Source organism: Homo sapiens, chromosome 2 (genome assembly GCF_000001405.40).
Source record: "Homo sapiens chromosome 2, GRCh38.p14 Primary Assembly".
Taxonomy (NCBI): domain Eukaryota; kingdom Metazoa; phylum Chordata; class Mammalia; order Primates; family Hominidae; genus Homo; species Homo sapiens.
In genome coordinates, this window is record NC_000002.12 from 218,721,443 (window position 1) to 218,740,924 (window position 19,482).

A 19,482-nucleotide genomic window follows, 5' to 3' on the forward strand; every position below is an offset into this window, starting at 1 on the left:
TGGAAGCAGCCTTGTGGTACTGAGCCCTTAACCTGTGAGATCTGATGCTATCTTTAGGTAAATAGTGTCAGAATTGAATTATAGGATATCCAGCTGGTGGCCTCTGGAGCATTCCTTGGTGTGTGTGCCTCACACATTTTGATGACCAGAGGTGAAATATTCTGTACTGTGTTAAGAGTGACTATGTAAGGGAGTGAAAAAAGTTTTTTCCCCCTTAGCTGGTCATAGCTGTTGTAGATGCATTTGTTTATTCAGCAAATATTTAATGAGCCCTGATTACCATTCTAGGGCTGGATACATAAGCTCTGTGAAAAAGTCCCTGTGCTCAAAGCTTTCATTCTGGAAGATAGACAGATAGCAAAGAAATGCATAAATAATTGAGGTTTTTATTTTAAAATAGCCAGGCCCAGTGGCTCATACCTGTAATCTCAGCACTTTTGAGAGGCTGAGGCAAGAGGATCACTTGAGGGCAGGAATTCGAGACCAACTGGGGCAACATAGTGAGACTCTGTCTCTATTTAAAAAAAAAAATTAAAAAACTCAGAAGTTAAAATTAGGGCCAGGTGTAGGGGTTCATGTCTGCAGTCCCAGCACTTTGGGAAGCTGAGGTGGGAGAATCGCTTGAGCCCAGGAGTTTGAGACTAGCCCTGGCAAGATAGCAAGACCTTATCTCTACAAAAAATAAAAAAGTTAGCTGGGTGCGGTGGAACACACCAGTAGTTCCAGCTCCTTGGGAGGGTGAGATAGGAGGACCATGAGCCCAGGAGGTCAAACCTTGGTGACCAAGTGACCTGGTCTCAAACAAACAAAAAGAAATTAAAATTGTAGGAAAAGGTATACACAGATAAGTCATCTTTGTCTGTTTCCAACCTCATTGGTAGTTTTTAAAAAAATTACCAGCTTCTTTGTTCATCTTTTTTTTTTTTGAGCCAAGTGTAAGGAAATATAAATATATAATAATTTTAGATAGTGGAGGAATGAAATGGAGGGAATAAAACAAGGTAATGAAATAGGGAATGATTGGGGTAGGACAATATTAGATAGGATTGACAAGGAAGGCCTTTTTAGTTGAATACTGAGTGAAAGAACTAAGCCAGCCATTCAAAGATCTGAGTGTTTCAGAGGAAACCACAAAGATCCAGAGGTGGGAACGTTCCTCATGAGAGGAAGAGTGGCTCTGGATAAGGTCAGAGAGTCAGGAATCAGATCACATAGTCCTGGAAGCCATCAGATGATCTTAAGCTGTGTTTTAAAAAGAGTACTGTGTTTTGAAAAAGTAGCCACTGTCTGGAAAATAGATGATATAGAAGCCAGTAAATCAGCAGTTGAGAGATGATGGTAGCTTGACTAAGGTAATGACAGTGGAAATGGGGAAGAATAGCCAGATTCAAAGACATATATTTGAAGCTGGAAGGACTTGTTGATGGATTAAGTGGAATTGAAGATCTGCTGAGGTCAGGGTGAAAGCATCATTATGACAGGCATGTCGGGAGTTTCTGTGTTGTATGGAGGCCTGTCCAGGGACTAAGCTCCTTCTGCCTGAATATTTTTTATTGAAGTCTTCTTTGTGCAATTACAGCTTATTTCTTGGCCCTGACTCTGAAAGATTAATTGGACAAGAGGGGAATGTGATTGATCTGTTCTTCTCTCACTTTCCCCTAGCATGACTTGGTTAGAATCTGACATTCCCACCTTACTTTCAAGGAGATTAACAGATAACATGTTCTTTTCTTTTGAATAACAGTGGTTATAGAACCCTTGAGCTTGCCACAGTGCCCTCCTTGTTTCTTTGACTCTAGCCCTAAAATCCTTATCTCAGCCTCTAGGTTCCTGTTTCTCAGCTGGGTGCTGACAGCAACTGTTTTCTCAGTTGAGGGCACAACAAGGACTTGTGTTTTATTGGGATGTGAGGTTTTACACAGAATCACATTTAAATAGCATTTTCCCTCTAAGTATTGGAGACCTCCTACCAGCTTGTATGTTGATGGGTCCTAGAGAAAGTGCTTCCATTAAACTTTATCTGCCAGGCTTGAGTAATATGCCTTCCCTTGAACTCCCCTTGAGCCAGAGTTTACAAATTCACTGGCCATTGAGAGAGGTTGATTAATGGGTGCAAATACACATTCAAGATGATGCATTTTTGTTTGGAAATTGCAGAAGTGATGATATATCCTTAAGTGCATCATATCATGAAGCACATAATATCATCATTAGTAATAGTACAAATTGACATGGGCCTCATCATAAGATGCAACTAAGGATATATCATCACTTCAGACAAGGCCAAATTGAGTTTCATTCTTTAGAATAACTGGTCTGTATTCTTCAGAAGTGTCAAGCTCATTAAAGAAAAATAAAGGCTGAGGAACTATTACAGATTAAAGGAGACTAAAAAGATATGAAGGTGAATACAACTTGTGATCCTGGGCCAGATAAAGGACATTGATGGGACAGTTGGCAATATTTGGATAAGATCTGTGTATTAGATAATAGTAATATAGTTTATAGTATTATCAATGCTAATTTTTTGAATATAAGAGAATATCCTGGTTTTAGCAAACATTTAGGAAGTTTTTAGGAAGTATTCAGATGCAAAGGGGTATCATGTCTGCAACTTATGCTCAAACATTTCAAAAACCAGTTCACACAGAGATATATGTGAGAGAGAATATGAATGAATAATAAAACAAGTGTGGTAAAGTATTAACATTTGATGAATCTGGGGAAAGAGTAAACAGGAATTCTTTGTACTATTTTTGTAACTTTTTGCAAGTCTGAGATAATTGCAAAATTAAAAAAAAATTTTTTTAAACCTCATTACTACTTAAAGGGAAGTTTGGTTTTCCTCAGACCAGAAGGCAGGTAGCACACCAATCAACTTCAACTTTTCTTTGAAATTATACTGGTAGAAATAGATTTTAACAGTGAATGACTCAAGCAAATGGACTTACTTCTTGCTCCATTACCTGAAACAGGCCTACCCTTCCCCCTACTCTTCCTGGCCTCTGTTAACCACCAATCTGTTCTCTATATTCTGAAATCCACTTTTTTAAACTCCCACTTATGAGTGAGAACATGCCGTATTTGTCTTTCTGTGCTTGGCTTATTTTACTTTATATAATGACCTCTAGTTCCATACATGTTGCTGCAAATGATGGGAGTTCATTCTTTGTTTATGGCTCCATAATATTCCATTGTGTATATATACCACATTTCCTTTATTCATAGTCCATTTACATTCAGTGTTGTTATTGATAAGTAAGGACTTACTACTGCCATTTTGCTGCTTGATTTGTGGTTTCTTTGTAACTCCTCTTTCTTACTGTTTTTGTAGTTTTTTTCTAGTAGTATGGTTTAATTAATTGCTTTTTATTTTTAGTGGATTTATTACAGGTTTTTGTGGTTATCTGTGGTTATTGTGAGACTTATAAAAAACAGCTTATACTTATTTTATTTTCGTATTTTATTTTTTATTGAGACAGGGTTTCACTCTGTCATCCAGGCTGGAGTGCAGTGGCGTGATCATGGCTCACTGCAGTCTCGACTTCTTGGGCTCAGGCGATCCTTCTACTTCAGCTCCCCGACTAGCTGGGACCATAGGCACATGCCACCACACCCAGCTAATTTTTATTTTTTATTATTATTTGTAAAGATGGGTCTTGCTATGTTTCCCAGGCTGGTCTTGAACTCCTGGGCTCAAACGATCCTCCCACCTTGGCCTCCCAAAGTGCAAGCATGAGCCACTGCGCCCACCCTAGAACAAGTCATTTTAAGAGATGATAACTTTTTTTGTTTGAGACAGAATCTTGCTGTGTCCCCTAGCGTGGAATGCAGTGGTGTATTCACAGCTCACCACAGCCTCCATCTCCTGGGCTCAAGCGCTTTTCCTACCTTAGCCTCCCAAGTAGCTGGGATTACAGGCATGTGCCATCATGCCTAGCTAATTTTTTATGGTTTTTTTTTTGTAGAGATAGGATCTCACTATGTTTCCCAGGTTGGTCTTGAACTCCAAAAAATAGAAGTGAACAAATAAAGAACCATAAAAACATTCTACACTTTAACTCTGTCCTCCATGCGTTTTAACTATTTGTGTCTCAATTTACATATTTTTTATATTGCCTTTTTTTTTTGGAGACAAAGTCTTACGCTGTCGTCCATGCTGGGGTGTAGTGGCGTGATCTCGGCTCACCGCAACCTCCACCTCCTGGGTTCAAGCAATTCTCCTGCCTCAGCCTCCCAAGTAGCTGGGATTATAGGCACATGCCACCACACCTGGCTAATTTTTGTATTTTTAGTAGAGATGGGGTTTCACCGTGTTGGCCAGGCTGGTCTTGAACTCCTGGCCTCAAGTGGTCTGCCCGCCTCAGCCTCCCAAGGTGCTGGGATTACAGATGTGAGCCACCATGCCCAGCCTTATTTGCCTATTTCTTAAGAAGTTGCTGTAGCTATTATTATTTTTGACAAGTTTGTCTTTTGGGCTTCATACTAGAGTTATGATTAGATTGCATATCATAATTAGGGTATTAGACTGTTTGAGTTTGTCCATTTACCTAATTTTACTAGTGGATTTTATGCCTTCAAATGTTTTCTTTTTGCATGTTAATTTTTTTTTCCCCTTCAAATTGAAGAACTATCTTTAGCATTACTTTTAAGACGGGTCTGGTGGTAGTGAATTCTTTCAGCTTTTGTTTATCTGGGAAAGACTATCTCTCATATTTGAAGGGTAGTTTTGCTGGATACAGTATTCTTGGAGGGTAGTTTTTTTCAGCAGTTTGAAATGTTTCACTCTCTCACTTGGATAATTTCCGAGGAGAATTTTGTTGCCAGATGAATTGGAGCTCCCTTATATGTATTTGCTTCTTTTCTCTTGCTCCTTTTAAAATATTGTTTGCCCTTGAACCTTGAGAGGTTTAATTATTATATGCCTAGGGGTAGTCTTATTTGGGTTGAATCTGTTTGGTGTTCCCTGATCTTCTTGGACTTGGATATATGTATCTCTCTCAAGTTTTGAAAAGTTTTCTGTTGTTTATTTTTTTTCCGAGACAGAGTCTCAGTCTGTCAGGCCCAGGCTGGAGTGCAGTGGCACGATCTCAGCTCACTGCAACCTCTGCCTCCCGGGTTCAAGCGATTCTTATGCCTCAGCCTCATAAATAGCTGGGATTACAGGCGTGTGCCACCACATCCAGCTAATTTTTTCTGGTTTTAGTAGAAATGGGGTTTCACTGTCTTGGCCAGGCTGGTCTCGAACTCCTGGCCTCAAGTGATCCACCTGCCTCAGCCTCCCAAAGTGCTGGGATTATAGGCGTGAGCCACCACGCCTGGCCTCTTTTGTGAAATTTCTTATAGACCAGTAACTAGTTTCTTTCTTTCTTTTTTTTTTGAGATGGAGTCTCAGTCTGTCGCCCAGGCTGGAGTGTAGTGATGCAATCTCAGCTCACTGCAACCTTTGCCTCCCGGGTTCAAGTGATTGTCCTGCCTCAGCCTCCTGTAGCCTGTAGCTGGGATTACAGGTGTGCACCACCATGCTGGCTAATTTTTGTACTTTTAATAGAGATGGGGTTTCACCATGTTGGTCAGGCAGGTCTCAAGCTCCAGACCTCAAATGATCCACCCACCTCGGCCTCCCAAAGTGCTGGGATTACAGGTGTGAGCCACTGTGCCCAGACTGCTAATTTCTTTTAGTAAGCCACCCCTGTAGCTTGTTTAGCTCCCTCTTGAATACCAGTAATTGTTAGATTTGGTCTTTTGAGGTAGTTTTCTGTATCTTATAGGTTATCTTTGTTGCTTTTCATTCTGTTTTCTTTTTTCTCCTTTGTGTATTTTCAGATAGACTGTCTTCAAGCTCACTGATATTTTCCTCTGCTTGATCCATTGTGCTGTTGAGAGCCTCTAGTAAATTTTTCAGGTAAGCAAATTTATTTCTCAGTTCTAAGATTTGTTTTAAAAATTATTATTAACAATCTCTTTGTTAAATTTCTCTGATAAATTTCTGAATTTGCTTTTCTGTGTTATCTTGGAGATCACCAAGTTTCCTTATAACTGCTATTTTGTTTGGGAGGCCAAGGGGGGTGGATCACAAGGTCAGGAGATCGAGATCATCCTGGCTAACACGGTGAAACCCTGTCTTTGCTAAAAATAAAAAAATTAGCTGGGCATGGTGGCGGGCGCCTGTAGTCCCAGCTACTCAGGAGGCTGAGGCTGAGGCAGGATAATGGTGTGAACCCAGGAGGTGGAGCTTGCAGTGAGCCAAGTTCACACCACTGCACTCCAGCCTGGGCGACAGACAAAGTGAGACTCTGTCTCAAAAAAAAACAAACAAAAAAACCCTGCTATTCTGAGTTCCTGGTTAGAGAGCTCATGTATTACTGCCTCATTAGAGTTAGTCACTGTTTTCTTGCTTTGTCCATTTCTTGCTTTGTCATAGTTCTCTGTTTGCTGTTATTTCTTGTGGATATATGTGTATGTCTTTACACTGAAGGATTATTTATTCCAGTCTTCTCTGTCTGGCTTGTTATTGGATATGTTTGTTTAGAGATTTTTTGTAACTTAACCTGTTGACTTATCTTTTTTTTAAATCACTAGGTCACTACCTCTTTTTCAACACTAGATGGCATCTTGGCCCCAGGTTTGTCTTGGCTTTAGCGCAGTGTTCCCCAACCTTTTTGGCCCCAGAGACCAGTTTTGTGGAAGACAATTTTTCCACTGACTGGGGTGGGTGGGTGGGGGAGGCGATGGTTTGGGGATGATTCAAGCACATTAAATTTTTTGTGCACTCTATTTCTGTAAATACATTGTAATATATAATGAAATAATTATATAACTCACCATAATGTAGAATCAGTGGGAGCCCTGGGCTTGTTTTCCTGAAACTAGATGGTCCCATCTGGGGGTGATGGAAGATAGTGACAGATCATCAGGCATTAGATTCTCATAAGAAGCATGCAACCTAGATCCCTTACATGGGCAGTTCATAATAGGGTGAGCGCTCCTATGAGAATCTAATGTTGCCGCTGAGCCTATAGGAGGTGGATCTCAGGTGGTAATGCTTACCTAAGTGGTAATGCCCGCTTGCCCAATGCTCAGCTCCTGCTGTGTGGCCTGGTTTCCTAACAGGCCATGGACCAGTACCAATCTGTGGCCCAAGAGTTGGGGACCCTGCTTTGGAGCACTGCCCTTCGCAAATGGAGGAGGTCCCAAATGGTAGAGGTCCCAAAAGGAATATCCTGGCAATGTGGGAAGGCTGACTAGGGATTTGTGCCCAGGAGACCTGTAGAACATACCTCCTATAGAGAGAAGTGCTGCTGAACAGCCACTCTGATTTGGTATCTCCTTTGGCTGAGTTACAGAGCAGAGAGTCCAGGGCTGAATATGGTAGTCCCACCTTGCTTTGTTTCTGTCTGTCTTTAGGGATGTTTCTCTCTTCAGGCACTCTTGATGCTTTCTGTGGGTTGAGGCATGGACAGGGAAGCTGGTGGTCTATTTTTTTTTTTTTTTTTTTTGGCGGGGGGGGGCATAGTTTTGTTCTTGTTGCCCAGGCTGGAATGCAATGGCATGATCTCGGCTCACTGTAGCCTCCACCTCCCAGGTTCAAGAGATGCTCCTGCCTCAGCCTCCCAAGTAGCTGGGATTATGGATGCCCACCACCATGCCCGGTTAATTTTTTATATTTTTAGTAGAGACGGGGTTTCGCCATGTTGGCCAGGCTGGTCTCGAACTCCTGGCCTCAGGTGATCCGTCTGCCTCGGCCTCCCAAAGTGCTGGGATTACAGACGTGAGCCACTGCGCCCAACCTGGTTGTCTATCTTGATATCACTTTTTCCACTTTAGAAATTGTGAGTTGGGGGCAGGTTTTCTATGTCCTTGGTCCCAGGAAGATTGAGGGAGGGGATGCTGCAGATGTGGAAGTCCAGTTTTCTTACCACCTTGTCAGAATTTTTTCCCTTCTCTGTGGTCCCAGGAACGGTCTCCTCTTCATACTTGAGTTCTGGGATTTTACTGGTGATAATCTTGGTGCTGTGTATTTGTGTTTGGTTTTCTGTGAGGAAGAGTGAAGCCAGCTTGCTTCTACACTGCCATTTTGGAACCAGAAGTCCCTATTCTTAGATACTTTATTCTTTTTGGTGCTGTTGTGAATGGAATTGTGTATTTCATTTTTACATGTTGTTTGTTTGTTGCTAGTATGTAGAACTAAAACTAACTTTCGTGTATTGATTGTGTATTCTGTGACCTTACTAAACTTGGTTATTAGTTCTAGTAGGATTTTTTATTTGATAAATGTTTTAGGATTTTCTTTTCTCTCTCTTTTTAAAAAAAAAAAAAACAAAAAAAAAAAAAACAGGATCTTATTCTGTCACCCAGGCTGAAGTTCAGTGGTGTGATCATGGCACATTGCAGCTTCGACCTCCCAGGCTCAAGTGATCCTCCCACTTCAGCCTCCTCAGTAGCTGGGACTACAGGCTTGTGCTAATTTTTAAAATTTTTTGTAGAGATAATGTCTCCCTATATTGCTCAGGCTGTTCTCAAACTCATGGTCTTAAGTGATCCTTCTATTTCATCTTCCTAAAGTATTGGGATTACAGGCGTGAGCCAATGTGCCCAGCCAGGATTTTCTATGTACAAGATCATATGTCCTACAAATAATGACAGTTTTACTTCTTCCTTTCCAATCTGTGTATCTTTGATTTCTTTTTCTTGCCATGTCAAACTGCTTAGAATTTCTAGTATAGGGTCTAATAGAAATGGAGGTTAGGCATGGTGGCTCATGCCTGTAATCCCAGTACTTTGGGAGGCCGAGGTGGGCAGATCACGAGGTCAGGAGTTTGAGACCAGCCTGGCCAATATGGTGAAACCCCATCTTTACTAAAAATCCAAAAAAAAAAAAAAAAAAAAAAAAAAAAAAAAAAAAAAGAAAAAAAATTAGCTGGGTGTGGTGGCGCGTGCCTGTAGCCCCAGCTACTCGGGAGGCTGAGGCAGAACAACCACTTGAACCTGGGAGGGGGAGGTTGCAGTGAGCTGAGATCATGCCACTGCACTCCAGCCTGGGCAACAGAGCGAGACGCTGTCTCAAAGTAAATAAATAAATAAATAAATAAAATAAAAAAGAAATGGAGAGAGTGGACATCCTTGTCTTATTCCTAATCTCAGAGGAAAAGCATCTCATAATTGACTATTAAGTATGATGTTAGCTGTATCTATGGTCTTTTGACATGTCTCTATCAAATTTTGACCACTTCCTTACTTTTTGGCAGCACAAAATATTCCATTCCCATCTCCTGCTCTCCCTGCCCCAACCTTGGAATCAGCCATTTTTCAAGGAGCTCTGGCTGCTTTTATTAACAGATAGTATTTAAAATACTATCTGTTACAGGTGTGCACCACCATGCCGGGTGTGGTGGCTCATGCCTATAATCCCAGAGCTTTGGGAGGCCAAGGCAGGAGGATCATTTGAGGACAGAGTTTGAGACCAGCCTGGGCAACATAGTGGAACTCTATTGCTATAAAAATAAAATAAAGTAAAAAATTAGCTAGGCATGGTGGTGTATACTGGTAGTCCTAGCTACTCAGGAGACTGAGGTGGGCAGATGGTTTGAGCCCAGGAGTCCTAGGCTGCAGTGAGTTATGACTACACCGCTGCACTCCAGCCTTGGTGACAGAGGGAGACCTTGTCTAAAAAAAAAAAAAGAATTGGCTGGGCACGGTGGCTCACACCTGTAATCCCAGCACTTTGAGAGGCCGAGGTGGGTGGATCACTTGAGGTCAGGAGTTCGAGGCCAGCCTAGTCAACATAGTGAAACCCCATCTCTACTAAAAATACAAAAATTAGCCAGGCGTCGTGGCGGGTGCCTGTAATCCCAGCTACTTGGAAGGCTGAGGCAGGAGAATCACTTGAACCCGGGAGGCAGAGGTTGCAGTGAGCCAAGATTGTACCACTACACTCCAGCGTGGGCAACAGAGTGAGACTCTGTTTCCAAAAAAAAAAAAAATTTCACAAAAGCTCCCAAATAACAAGACGGTTCTGTTTTACAAAAGAACATTGCTTGTCCTCGCTGAAGTTTTGTAGTGGAATAATTGTTGCCTATTCCTTGTATTTTTCTGCCTTCATCACAGCTTATGAAGGGGCAGAGGGGAGATAGATCATTTGGTGCCAGTGAGAATGAGAGTTGTAACTACCTTGCTGCAAACGTTTACTGGGAGCCACTGTGCTTTTTGTGTGCTTTATGCGAATTTTTAAACTTCACCTCCCACAACTTCAGTCGGGGTATGGTACTTCCTTTCTCTTGTCTTTCCCTGAACATTCCAGCTGTGCGGTTTCAGAGTTGCATGTGATTCACTACTGATCAGTGCTCTGATTGTCATGAGTCACCACAAGGCCGTAGCTGCTCATGCAGCCTGGCTGTGAGGAGGACCTAGATTGAGGAATTTAGCTACAGAAATAGGCTTGTTTTCTTCTAAACTTGAACTCTGCCTGCTATAGCTTAGTGTTTATACCCTGTTTGCCCCTTAAGCCCTCCTGTTCCCTAGGGATCCTGTGTAGGAACAAGAAACACATTAGATCATTGCTCCATAAAATGTTAGATTATTCAAAATATCATTTTTCAGGTGAGGTCAATTTATTGGCCCCTAAAGTAAGTTCCTTGCAAGCTGCTGATTGGAGGGTCAGCTGATGGTAGATCCTTTGGACTTAGTAACAGAGAGTAAGTATGAATGTCTTGAGCTATCTTTAAGTAGTATAAATATGTAGTTAATCCTTTATAATTTACATAGTCAGCAATTACTCTTTATAAGTTTAGATTTGTTTAAGTTGGGAGTTTTTGAAATGGGCTTCCAGTAGTAGCCAGTACATAGCCTTCTACATATGTAAATACCTTTTCTCCTGTTGTCTTTCTTTTGATGTTTCTTCCTAAAATACTTCCTGGGAGATGAGCAGTCTGCCTTTTGGATCCTAGAGGCGCACATATACACAAAGTGTGCATTATCACAGTACACTTAGAAATATAAGGGACACTGGGAGAAAGGTCTTCCAGGTGTCATCGTAGGAGGGCAGAGTATATCACAGGGAATGGGCTTGATGACTTTGCTGAAAATTGCCCTTCGAGTATGTGCTGTCGGTAGGGTCTGGGTGCCAGACATTATTTGCCTCTCTGGACTTTGACTTTATGGCAGAACTCACTATGTTAGCTTTTAAAACAAGGTTCTCACTTCCTTCACTTCTTAGATTTTGGGTCTTCAGAAGCTTTTTAAAGTTTGTCACTTGCATTCCTGTAGGGCAGTGGGCAGGATGCGGGAAAAGATGACCTGTGGCAGTGATTGGGGGTCTGGGACCCAAGCTGCCTGAATGCTTTAGTTAGGCCTCTGCCTCCCAACCATTTGAGGTTTTGATCTCATCAGGAATCTCTATAAGGAGAAGGAAGGAAGTTGTTTTTAGCAACCATCATTTCCCTGTCTTAACGTGACACTACTTCTGAACCTCAAACACTGAAACTAGGTTGGAGCATTTGTATGTGATACTGTCGTGAGTGATACTGTTTACTTGGCATTCTTGAAGTTACTCTCTGCAGAGTATCTGATGCAACAAATTTGTCTTTGCTTGGTAATTCCTAACACAGCCATCTTATCCAACCTTGGATATCTCTTACTAACTTTGGAGCTATTTCCCAGAAAGAGAGTTACAGAAACATCCTCTCACCTGCTTGGCCCTTGAGTCCAGACATATTTCTTTAGGAAGACAGTGGCCCTTATCCAACTTGCTATACTACACATCATGGGGACTGTATTAGTTCGTTCTCGTACTGCTATAAAGAAATACCTGAGACTGGGTGATTTATAAAGAAAAGAGGTTTAATTGGCTCATGGTTCTGCAGGCTGTATGGGTAGCATGGCTGCGGAGGCCTCAGGAAACATTCAGTTGTGGCGGAAGGGGAAGCAGGCACGTCTTCACATGGCCAGAGCAGGAGAGAGAGAAAGCAGGGTGGTGCTACACACTTTTAAACAACCAGATCTCATGAGAACTCACTATCATGAGAACAGCAAGGGGGAAATCCGCCTCCATGATCCAGTCACCTCCTCCAACATTGGGGATTACAACTCAACATGAGATTTGGTGGGGACACAAATGCAAACCATATAGGGACTATGAGAGGAGACAAGAAGTGGGAAATGACCATTGCAGAGATATGAGATCTGGAATACCTTAGAGAGAAGAGAATCCACTCTACTCTAGTACCTGCCCAGGTGTGTTGTTTAACACTTTGTCTGGGAGCAGGCCACCTGCAGCTTCTGAGGAGGGTAGGCATGTATCCTTGTCCTCCCTCTTCCTCTTTTGGATTAAAAGCCAAGCCAGCTGGGTGTTGGGCTATTTGTGTTCATGTGCTTGGCACTGAGGGTTCATGTGGTGGGATGTAGCAAGGCAAACATTGAGCAATGTGTGTGCAAAAGGAAGTGTTGTGCAGTGAGTGCCTGTGGCTACAAGGGAGAGTGGGATTGGCTGTGGTGTTGATGAGAAGTCAGTGATGTGCTTTTAGGGACTTTCCACAAAGGGCCTTGGTATAAACATGGAGGAGTGTTTCCAACCTGGCTTTTGTCTGGTACCTAAAGATTAAAGATAATGGAGGGGATGGAGTCTAAATATGTGTTTCATTCTGTTTAATAGGCATTGTAGACTCAGACAGATTTGAGTTTTAATCTAGGCACTGCTACTTATTGGTTATTTAATTATAGGAAAGTTACTTAACTTTTCTGAGTCTTGGATTCATCATCAGTAAACTGAATGTAAGGTTTTTTTTAGGATTAAATGAGATAATATGGATAAAATGCCTAGCATGGTACCAGACATTCATTAGGTGCCCAAACTAGTATTCAAGTTTGTTTCCCCTTCATTTACTGTGCTTTTCCAGTTTGTTTACTCAACAGAATATTGAGCACTTCCTGTGTATCAGTCACTGTGTTGGGGACATCAGCTGGAGGAGAATGTGCTCCTTGCTCCTAGTGTGATGAGTTAGTTCATTGTTGAAGCTAATGTTCTGTGAGCAGTGATGGTGGCATGCGCAGAGGTGAGGCATCCTGTTCAAACTCAGGAGTCAGGGAAGACTGCCTAGGTCATGTTGCAGCTGATTTTTTAAGTTGGGTGAAGAAGAAGAAAGGGCTCCAGGAACAGCACTTGTAAGGGAATGAAGAGCTGAGCTAGCATGATGCACGTGGGAATCAATAGTGGGGCTGTTTTTCAGGGGGACCAGCCTGAGTTTTCATTTCCCTAGGCATTCTCCTACCACTTTGGTATGTCTGTTGTGTTGCATTGGTGGGGAAAATGTGGCTTCCCGAAAGAGGATTAAGTGACGGGATTATGAATTATTTTGAGTGTACTTAATACACATGCATGCGTGCTTGTAGTCTCGTAAAGTGAATGGCAGGATTTGACTTTTCCCTTTGTCTCTATGCTTCTCTACCACAAACACACGCTGTAATTGTTCCAAGCACGGTATTTCCATAGTTTGGATTTGTGTGGTGGTCCATTTTCTGTAACCTCATTTTGAGGTGACTGGCCTCAAAATCCAGTTTTAGCATTTATGCTGTTTTTAGCTCATTATCATTTTGAATATTGGCAGTGCTGCATTGTGATTTTTTGTACTCCCCTTGAGAAAGAGTCCATGTAGGTCAGCCTTTGCAGGTAAAGAGGGCGATATCCCATGGCTTCTGCAGTGTTTGTTGGTGGTATTCATTCGTGGCTGTAGACAGGAATCTTAGTTCTTCCTTGGCCATTACACTGTTAATCAGAATACAAGGTACTCTCCCCATTTTTGCATTTTAAATATAACTTAAGCGAAAAAACCATCTCTCCTAGGGCTGGGTTCAGTGGCTCAGGCTTGTAATCCCAGTTTATTGGGAGGCTGAGAGAGGAGGATCGCTTGAGGCCAGGAGTCGAGACCAGCCTGGGCAGCATAGTGAGATACCGCCACTCCCTATCTTAATAAAAAAATTTAAAAAAATCAACTGTGTGTGGTGATGCATGCCTGTGGTCCCAGCTATTTGGGAGGCTGAAGGGGGAGGATCATTTGAGTCCAGGAGTCTGAGGCTGCAGTGAGCCATGTTTGTGCCACTGCATTCCAGTTTGGGTGACAGAGCAAGACCCTCAAAACAAAACAAAACCTCTCTGCAAATTCCTTCCCTCTAGCTACTCTGAAAACACACTTGATGAGAATGTCAGGATTCCATTCAGAATTATCCCAGACAAATGACTCCTTTTTTTTTTTTTGAGACAGAGTCTCACTCTGTCACCCAGGCTGGAGTGCGATGGCGCGATCTCGGCTCACTGCAACCTCCGCCTCCCGAGGTCAAGCGATTCTCCTGCCTCAGGCTCCCAAGTAGCTGGGATTACAGGCACCCTCCTCCGTGCATGGCTAATTTTTGTATTTTTAGTAGAGAGCGTTTCACCATGCTGGCCAGGCTGGTCTTGAACTCCTGACCTCGTGATCCACCTGCCTTGGCCTCCCAAAGTGCTGGGATTACAGATGTAGCCACCGTGCCCAGCCTTTTTTTTTTTTTTTTTTTTTTTGTGAGACAGGGTCTCACTCTGTCACCCAGGCTGGAGAGCAGTGGTGCTATCTTGGTTTGCTGCAACTTCCACCTTCCATGCTCAAGCGTTTTTCATACCTCAGCTTCCCAGGTAGCTGGGACCACAGGCATGCGCCACCATACCTGGCTGATTTTTGTATTTTTTGTAGAGACGGGGTTTTGCGATGTTGCCCAGTATGGTCTCAAACTCCTGAGCTCAAGTGATCTGCCTGCCTCAGCCTCCTAAAGTGCTGGGATTACAGGTGTGAGCCATTGCACCTGGCCACGAATGACTTTTTACAGTTTTTGTTATTTCCCCCAGATGCTGCCATGAAAGCAGGCCCACCTTTCCTTACTGGAGAATATTTTGTGAATTTGATTTAGAAAGTAAGTGACCATGCTGAACAGTTTGAGACCCAGAAGGCTGGCTTACAGGTTTTGTATTAAAGGAAACACTGATTGAGAAGATGCAAAAGAGACAGGCTCTTCCTCCCTGAGATCAGCCCAAACTTAAGCCTGGGCTTTGGAGTAAAGAAAGCTTCTGTCCTCTTCTTACTCCCTGAACTCTCCTGTCCCAGTATGGCTGCTGGAAATAAAGTCACTTTAAGTAAAAATAATGCTGGTGTTTAGTTCAATTTCCTTTCTTCTTTTTCCCACCAACACACAGGATGGAATTTAAATCTGTATAGTTAGCAGAGATGAAATTGCTGTCTCAGCTCCAGAATAAACTCCGGGATCAGCAAGGGAATTCTCTTCTCCTGTCTGAACTTGTCCTATTTAACCATGAAAAGCAGACTAAATCAGAGGCAGCTGAGTTGATTTAGGGAGCAGTAGATGTAAAATGAGTTTTTCAGATCGTCTTTTTTTTTTTTTTTTCTGAGATGGGGTCTCACTCTGTTGCCCATGCTGGAGTACAGTGACACCAGCTCAGCTCACTGCAACCTCTGCCTCCCAGGCTCAAGCGATCCTCCCACCTCAGCCTCCCCAGTAGCTGGGACTTCAGGTGCACGCCACAATGCCTAGCTAATTTTTGGTAGTGACGGGGTTTTGCCATGTTGGGCAGGTTGGTCTTGAACTCCTGGGCTCAAGCTGGGATTACAGGTGTGAGCTGCCTCACCTGGACTCAAATAATCTTTAATCTTTCAGAATTGATTTATGAGAAGGAAGATACTGAGTCCTCTCTCTCACTTCAGATTTGCTTTATTCCTAGCCACACTGGTTTTGGGTGAGGGAAGGTAGCCCCTCATGGAAAGTTGTGGGCGGTGAGACAGAAAGATGTATTTTTTGTTGGAGAGAGAGGAAAGCTTTCTGAGTGACAGAGTGGGGACTCATAAGCAGCTTCACAGTGGTGGTGGCACCTCAGTGTTTTAGTCCGTAATGAAGCCAGCTTTGATCCTATGAGGGCAGTAGGAAGATCATTGAAAACTCCCTGGAAATCTGGTGTTCTTCTCCCAGTGCCCCAAATGACGACCAAGACTGGTTGCCCAAAAATGCTGAAGTGGGACTGTACTGCTTACCTGAGGACCACTGTAGCATGGTGTCCGTTCTCCTGGCACTGTAACATTTCCTATCATTTCTCTCCACTTCAGACTGACAGACTTCAAGGATGCAGCTGCTACTACCGGAGGTGTGTGGCACCTTACCTCAGCAAGGCCATGAGACCGTGTGGCCATGATGTGGGCCCCTCATGGCCTCAGCAGGAACACAGCACTATAGTATTGGCCTCCGCCAGAAAAACAGCTTCAAGCAGAGTGGTCCCTCAGGCACAGTACCTGCCACGCCACCTGAGAAACCCTCGGAGGGCAGAGTCTGGCCTCAGGCCCATCAGCAAGTGAAGCCAATCTGGAAGCTGGAAAAGAAGCAAGTGGAGACACTGTCAGCAGGGTTGGGCCCAGGCCTCTTGGGCGTCCCACCCCAGCCAGCATATTTCTTTTGCCCCAGCACTTTATGTAGCTCTGGGACCACGGCTGTCATTGCAGGCCACAGCAGTTCCTGTTACCTACACTCTCTCCCGGACTTGTTCAACAGCACCCTGCTATACCGCCGCTCCAGCTATAGGCAAAAACCGTACCAGCAACTGGAGTCTTTCTGCTTGCGTTCGAGCCCGTCAGAAAAAAGCCCTTTTTCTCTCCCTCAAAAGAGCCTCCCTGTCAGTCTCACTGCCAACAAGGCCACTTCTTCCATGGTCTTCTCCATGGCCCAGCCCATGGCCTCCTCATCCACAGAACCATACCTCTGCTTGGCAGCGGCTGGGGAAAACCCTTCAGGGAAGAGCCTGGCCTCTGCCATCTCAGGGAAGATCCCATCTCCACTCTCTTCCTCCTATAAGCCCATGCTGAATAATAATTCCTTCATGTGGCCAAATAGCACGCCAGTGCCTTTATTGCAGACCACACAGGGCCTGAAGCCAGTATCGCCACCCAAGATCCAGCCTGTCTCCTGGCATCATTCAGGGGGTACTGGAGACTGTGCACCGCAGCCTGTTGACCATAAGGTGCCCAAAAGCATTGGCACTGTCCCAGCTGATGCCAGTGCCCATATCGCCTTGTCTACCGCTAGCTCCCACGACACATCCACCACCAGTGTTGCCTCTTCCTGGTATAACCGGAATAACTTAGCCATGAGGGCAGAGCCACTTTCCTGTGCTCTGGATGACAGCTCTGATTCCCAGGATCCAACTAAGGAGATTCGGTTCACTGAGGCCGTGAGGAAATTGACCGCAAGAGGCTTTGAGAAGATGCCGAGGCAAGGCTGCCAGCTTGAACAGTCTAGTTTCCTGAACCCCAGCTTCCAGTGGAATGTCCTCAACAGGAGCAGGCGGTGGAAACCTCCTGCGGTAAATCAGCAGTTTCCTCAGGAGGATGCTGGATCGGTCAGGCGGGTCCTCCCTGGTGCCTCAGATACCTTGGGGTTGGACAATACAGTCTTCTGTACCAAGCGTATCAGCATTCACCTCCTTGCCTCACATGCCAGTGGGCTCAATCACAACCCTGCCTGTGAATCTGTAATTGACTCCTCAGCATTTGGAGAAGGCAAAGCTCCAGGTCCCCCTTTTCCTCAAACTCTTGGCATAGCCAACGTGGCCACCCGCCTCTCTTCCATCCAGCTGGGCCAGTCTGAGAAGGAGAGACCTGAGGAGGCCAGGGAGCTGGACTCATCTGATAGGGATATTAGGTATGTTGGCAATGTTTTTGGTTCATTTAGAGCAGTAGAATGTATATACCATAATTTGGGGTGGCACCGACCCTGTACCTCTGAAGGTTGGTTTTATTTTTTAGCTGCCCTAGAATTTTTGGTTTTCACTTCAGGGCAAGGGTTGGGAAACTATAGCTTGCAGACCAAATCTTGCTTGTTGCCTGCTTTTGTAAATAAAGTTTTGTTGGAATGCAGCCTTGTCCATTCATTTGCAGTTGTCTGTGGCTGCTTTCTTGTTACGATGGTAGAGCTGAGTAGTTGTGATAAACCGACTGGCCTGCAAACAAAAATATTTACTCTCTGGTCCTTTAGAGAAAGAGTTCGCCAACCCCTATTTTAAGTAAAAACCAGGAGAGAAATAAGAATTGTGAGCACCAAATGTTGAAGCCTGTGACTTTCCTACTTTTTCCAAACCAAATGAGGTTCTCAGTCATTCTTGGCATGACAGCCATTTATAGTTAGGGCACACACATAGTTGGCTCCTTCTGTTGTGTTTTGTTATTTTCCTGGGAACTTGGTCCACTAAGGCCTTTTTCTGAGTTCCCAGAGAGTGGCCTAGGGACATTTCAAGTCAATTACCAGATATCCATTGATGGTTTTTTAGATGTAGAATGTTGTACTTATATGCTATGAGGGACACCAAAGAAAATGGAAAACATAGTGCCTCTTTGCAGAATGGGAGATGTAAGGTTGAGGAGCTATGCCTAGACCTAAGCTTTGAAGACAAAAGAAATGAGTTGTGAGGTCCAGGCAAGAAGTAGCAGATTGGTAATGGAGAAGGGGCAAATACTGGGAGATGATGAAGGAATGAGAATCTAACTGTGACCTCTTTGATGGAGTTGACTAGGCTGGGGGCATGATTCTTTCTTTTAGTTCAGCTACTGACCTCCAGCCAGATCAGGCTGAGACTGAAGATACAGAAGAAGAACTAGTAGATGGTTTGGAAGACTGTTGTAGCCGTGATGAGAATGAAGAGGAGGAGGGTGAGTAGGAAACCCTTTCACTTCCAACTAGGAGTTGGTTATGACCTGTTGGGCAGGGGGCTGACAATTGTGTACTAGGTCCTTGACTCACATTACCTACATCAGTCATTTGCTTTGGGGGTCTTAAGTGGGGGTAGTGCCTTCTAGAGGACTTGGGTCTCTAGTCCTCCTGTCCCACTGGTCTTACCTTCCCGCTGCTTCTGTTGAGGAAGGCAGTGCAAAGCAGCGGGGTGGTGCTTGTGGCTCCCCAAGAAGGGTTGAGCCCAGGATATTCAAGGAAGAGTTGCCTAGGCTTGGTAAGTTTGTGCTGCAGCCTCTTCTAGTCAGAATTTCTCTGTTCTTCCTTCCTCTAGGAGACTCAGAGTGCTCCTCATTAAGTGCTGTCTCCCCCAGCGAATCGGTGGCCATGATCTCTAGGTAAGTGTGGCTGTATAGATCATTGTTACATGCTCATCTTTTGTCTCTTAAAGATTATAAAGAGATAAACCACTCAAGTCATTAATGGCCTGGAGAACTCTAATGCATTTTTACCAAATTTTTATGTTTGCGACTTTAGTTTTTGAACAGGGAGTAATGGGGGGCCAGAAGCACATCTCATCTGTGGGGCTTAAAAACAGTATCATGGGCCAGGCGCAGTGGCTCACACCTGTAACCCCAGCACTTTGGAAGCTGAGGCAGGCGGATCTCCTGAGGTCAGGAGTTCGAGACTAGCCAAGCCAACATGGCAAAACCCTGTCTCTACTAAAAATATAAAAAT

General features: G+C 43.9%; 1 protein-coding gene across 16 annotated transcripts in view; it reads left to right on the forward strand.

Moving 5' to 3' along the window:
• The window catches only part of TTLL4 (tubulin tyrosine ligase like 4), a 48,890-nt gene that overhangs the window by 10,608 nt on the left and 18,800 nt on the right, over positions 1-19,482 (forward strand). For 5 of the 16 annotated variants that reach the window (XM_047446454.1, XM_006712875.3, XM_017005387.2 and 2 more), the window contains exons 2-5: positions 5,827-5,905; positions 16,137-17,721; positions 18,616-18,725; positions 19,079-19,142. In XM_047446454.1, coding sequence (XP_047302410.1) covers positions 16,235-17,721; positions 18,616-18,725; positions 19,079-19,142 — 1,661 coding nt within the window. In that variant the 5' untranslated portion in view covers positions 5,827-5,905; positions 16,137-16,234. Of the gene's footprint in view, positions 1-5,826; positions 5,906-6,582; positions 6,626-16,136; positions 17,722-18,615; positions 18,726-19,078; positions 19,143-19,482 lie in introns of all 16 variants that reach the window. The other 11 variants (XM_047446455.1, XM_017005388.2, XM_047446452.1 and 8 more) reach the window with 4 other exon arrangements.